The sequence below is a fragment of the Homo sapiens genome, chromosome 3 (assembly GCF_000001405.40).
Source record: "Homo sapiens chromosome 3, GRCh38.p14 Primary Assembly".
Lineage (NCBI taxonomy): Eukaryota > Metazoa > Chordata > Mammalia > Primates > Hominidae > Homo > Homo sapiens.
Genome location: NC_000003.12, coordinates 155,968,971 through 155,973,921, shown reverse-complemented (window position 1 = coordinate 155,973,921; position 4,951 = coordinate 155,968,971). Strand labels below are relative to the sequence as shown.

The window sequence follows — 4,951 nt, the reverse complement described above, 5'->3', positions numbered from 1 at the left end:
CAGTAGTATCTATCTCATTTTTTTAACAAGTAAATGAGATAACATATATATCTCATACATTTACACAGCCCATAGGAAATGCTCAGTAACATTTGTAGTTACTTTATTGAACAATTTAGACATCTATTTGCTGCACAGATATTCCCTTAGATGCTGTTATGGGTTGAATTGTGTCTCCCTGCAGAAAGATATGTTGAAGTCTTCATCCCTCCCCAGTACCACAAAATGTGACTTTATTTGAAAATGTGATCTTTACAGAGGTAATTAAGTTAAAATTAGATCATTGGGGTGGGCCCTTATCCAATATCACTGTGTCCTCATAAAAAGGGGAAATTTGAACACAGAGATAAACATGCACACAGAGAGAATGCCATGTGCAGATGAAGGCAGAGATTGAGGTGATGCATCCACAAGACCAGGAATGCTGAAAAGTTCCAGCAAAGCACCAGAAACTAGAGGAGCAGCATGGAACAGATTCTTCCCCACAGCCCTCAAAAGGAACCAACCCTGCCTACACTTGACCCTGGACTTCTGACCTCCAGAGCTGTAAGGCAATAAATTTCTGTTGTTTAAGCCACCCAGCCTGAGGCATTTTGGTACAGCAGCTCTAGCAAACTAACAAAGATGCTAATTGTACAAAGGCCAACTGTTACTAACTCAGGTCACCAAATAACTCAAAGAAACTAGCACCATATTAACAATAATGAGTAACTGCAGGCAGAGAGGGGATAGAGAGGAGAGGGAAGGAAAAAGTGGACGGAAAGGAGAAACAATACAGACATAATGACTTGGACTCCAGAAGTGAAAGAAGAAAAAGCTGAGAAGGAAATTGTTTGCATTAACGAAAGAGAAAGCTCACAGAATATTGCCCACTGCCTCTTTTAAGCTTCCAAGGGCTCCGGACCATGGGTCACAATCAATGTCTCTGTAAGAACTGTCCCCCAATTGGGACCCACTGACTGTATAATTTGAATGTTTAAAGATCAGGTTTTTGCACCTATTCTGTACCAGAATTTCTTCAAGGGAGAGACGTTTCAGCTCAATTCCTCTTTTATCAAATGATCTTCTGACCACTGTCACTAGGCTTTGCCCGGAACGATCAAACCCAATACTCCCAGCAAGTGTGTCCCTTCCCTCCAGACTCAGGGACTAAGAGACTAACCTTTATCACTCCACGATAGCTTCAAATCTTCATAACTCACTGGCTGCATAAATAATGGGCTACCATCTAAGGCTTCCTTACAAGAAATATTTCTTATTTTTGTTGTAAATTGTTTTGCATCCTGAATTTAAATGAGTCTGACTGAAGGAACGAGAATATTCCACTTATGTGATTTTCCTAAAAACATGTCCTAAGGGAAAGAGCCCTTTAAGATAATCTGGGTTAATTCAACTACCAAATACTTACATTCTGGTCAAATTCTGGTCAAATACACAAGGAATGACAGAACCAAGACTCAAGAATTAAACTTTCAGGATTAAGCTGACTTTTAGTTCAGTGCTTTTTCCTGTATACCATTTACTCCCTATAATTTCATAATAAAATAATTTGGGTTCCACAATAAAACAAGGCTGACCTGGATATTGGACTTACCCTTCTAAACAGAGTACAGGCTCCCTTCTTTTAAAAGAAGATCATTCTAAGTATATCTTAGCCTGTTGTATGGAAAGCAGGAAGCAAATGTTCAGCAGATATTCGTACAGATGTTGGCAGCCATCTGCCCCATTCTAAGAGCTCTGAAGGCCAAGGGTGCCTCAGGGGTGCCAGGGCAATTACAGGATGTGCCGACCAGTGGCAGGGCTCAAAAAATGCCCATGCCATGCATCTTCCTCAATGTTGGGGAAAGAAATGTGTCAAGAAGGGACAAGAGGCACATATGTTGTGTACAGGGACCAGGAATTCACATATACAAGCAGAGCCCGTCATCTCCAACCATTGTTGGGAGTAGGCTTCCAGCAGCTGAAATTCTGAAATGTATTCATTATAAGGTGAAAATATGAAATGACCGCTAGCAAACACTAGCTCTCACAGCACCTGGAACAGTATCTGTGCTTTCTACGTGCCATGCCCTATTCCAAGCACTTTACACATATTAACTCATTTACTCACCAAAACTTGCCCCAAAACAGATATTATTATTATCCCTACTAAACTGCTGAAGAAGTTGAGGCACAGAAGGATTAAGCAACTTCACTGACATACCAAAGCTAGCAGTGGCAAAACCAGGATTCAAATGGAGGTAACCTGGTTCTGGGGCCATACTAATACTGCATTTTCCCCCTTACAGCTCTACCAATTGGTAGCCAATTTCCAGCTACCAATATGACATCCCTGAGCATAGGGTTGGAGAAAGATGTGCACAGTCGGCTCTTGCCAGCTGCGAGAGCCAGCTTCAGCATGCCAGTGGGTTGAGTGAAAGAGGGAAAGAAAAAAAGGAAGGAAAGAAGGAAGGACAGGAGGGAGGGAAGGGGTTGTGGGGGGCAGAGACTAGAATAATAAGATATGCTTTCACCAAGTGACCTCTCCCAGCAATGAAGCCTGGGGAATTTGTAGGCTGTCACAGGGAGGATCCCATTGTTGAGTCTGGTTGTGACATATCTTATTCATGTAATGAGTTCTTTCTCACCACCAGTAATCTCAAGGTGCAATTAAGACAAAATGACAAAGTCTATAGCTTTTTGCTGACCCCCACCAGCCTGAATGCAGGAGTCTACCCATTGGCTCTTCTGTTCCATAATGGGGGACTCTCACCACTTGTCGCCTCAGCCCTCTTTATCTGTGACCATCTCTTATGTTTTTGGAATGGAGTCTGGGATGGTGCCTCTGGCTGCCAGCCCTGCCACCATGGCTAACAGGGCTGCCTCCCCACCACGAGGTGGCTGCCATTTTTGTGGCTGCAGCCATTCCTGCTCCTCTCTTAACCAATGTTGCTGCTATTGTGCTACCACCTCAGGCACCAGTGAGACTGGCAGTTCCTTAGCACGGCTTCTGGCCACAGCACCCCTCAGGCCCACCCACTGTCTTCTACCTAAGTCCTAGGGCCCTTCTCCTCATCCAGACAGATCAAAGTTGATCCTCCAAATGTTGCGGGACTTCTCCTTAGTTCAGCTAAAGACAGGGTCTTTGTCACATGGCCATGAAAATTTAGACTCGCAGACAATCTGAAAGGTGAGTAAAGCAGAGTTTTACTGGGTGAAAAGGGAAAAAAAGGTAAACAGGGACCCCCTGCAAAGCCAGTCCCTGCTGGTGCACTTCCGGCCTCACAGTTTGAATTCCAGGTTCTACCCAGGAAGAGGAGGGGCCAGGCTCCTCCTCTTGCTGCAAAGGGCATGAACTTCTGTGTTCCACCCCAGTGTGCACTCCTTCCTGTGCACAGGCAACTGGAGTTTTGCCAGGGAGCCCTTCCCACCTGTCTCACAGACATCAGGAGGCACATGCCTATTTCAAATCCAAACCCATCCAGAGCAGTTCCATTTCTGCCTCAAGCCTGGTTACACTAAATTGAATCAGTATAGTCTCCCATTTGTACAACAGACATGTATGGAGAGCCTAGGCACCATGCTGACCTTTTGAAATGCAACAGTAAACAAAACAGTCCCACTTCTGGGGGTTTACAGCCTGGCTGGGGGTTGGTGGAATAGATTCCAGAGAAGTGTGAAGCTTTGCTTTGCTAGGAGAGTGCACCAAGGAAACTGATCCTGAGAAATTAACCTCCAGTCGGCTTGCTGGTAAGCACTCAGAAATAAGTAGCATGCTTGCATGTGGCCTACTCAGCTACTTGCCTGACGTGGCTCCTGCAGCTCTCCCCATCCTCCATGCCAGAAACCTTTCCTCCCAAGATATGCATGCAGCTCTCTTTCCTCACTTCACTCAGGTCCTGGTTCACATACCACCCAATCAGAGAGGACTTATATGGCCACCCAGTAAAAAAAAAATAGCACCCTCAGCAACATGTGAGAAAGATTAAACTGGCTGCTGCTGGCTTGGAAAATAAAGGGGCAACAAGCCAAGGAATGCGGGCAACCTCCAGAAGCTAGAATAGGAAGGGAATGGATCTCCCCTAGGGCCTCCAGAAGGCATACAGCCCTATTAACACCTTCATTTTAGCCCATTGAAACTCATTTCAGACTTCTGACCTCCACGATTGTAAGATAGTAAATTTGTGTTACTTTAAGGCACTAAATTTGTAGCAACTTGTTACAATAGCAATAGGAAATTAATACACTAATATTCCCAGCACCTACAGCCAAAGTATGAGTAGCAGTTTTATAGGCAGCTGAGGGAATGTTTTTCCAAGCAGAGGGAGCAGTGGCAGCATGTGCAGAGCCAGGCAATTGAGAGAACATTATGCTTTCAGAGAACTGGAAGTAAAGGGTAGGTAACATTGTAGGGTGTACAGTGTACTACACATGCAATTTCTTATTTTCTCTTCCAGAGATTATCTTCTTTTCCACTGACTAGATCAAAGCAAAGAATGGCAAGTTTGAATGCTTTGCTCAAGAACCCAGCGCAGGCCAGCTGAAGTGGCTCACTTCTGTAATCCCACCACTTTGAGAGGCCAAGGAAGGAGGAGAGCTTGAAGCAAGAATTTCAAGACAAGCCTGGGCAACAAAGTGAGACCCCACTTCTGCAAAAAATTTAAAAATTAGCTGGGTGTGGTGGCACATGCCTATAGTCCCAGCTACTCAGGGGGCTGAGGATGATTGCTTGAGCCCAGGAGGTCAAGGCTGCAGTGAACCATGATCACGCCATTGCACTCCAGCCTAGGCAACAAAGTGACTCTGTCTAAAAAAAAGAAAAAGAAAAAAGAACCTACAGCAAGCAAAATGCAGCCAAAGATGGCCAAGAACACACCTGTAACTGAAGAAAACTGGGTTTAATGACATACTTGTAAGAATGGAAAGCCATGGGACCTTTTATAAAACTTTCTTAGCAAGTGCTTATTTTGTG

General features: G+C 44.5%; 1 annotated feature.

The window, feature by feature from the left end:
• Positions 3,722–3,889: a silencer, noted in NCBI's record as "fragment chr3:155687822-155687989 (GRCh37/hg19 assembly coordinates)". NCBI's record gives its function as "represses an EF-1alpha promoter that drives an FKBP-Casp9 reporter gene in an ReSE screen in HepG2 liver carcinoma cells {active_cell/tissue: HepG2}" and the evidence as "EXISTENCE:reporter gene assay evidence [ECO:0000049][PMID:32094911]".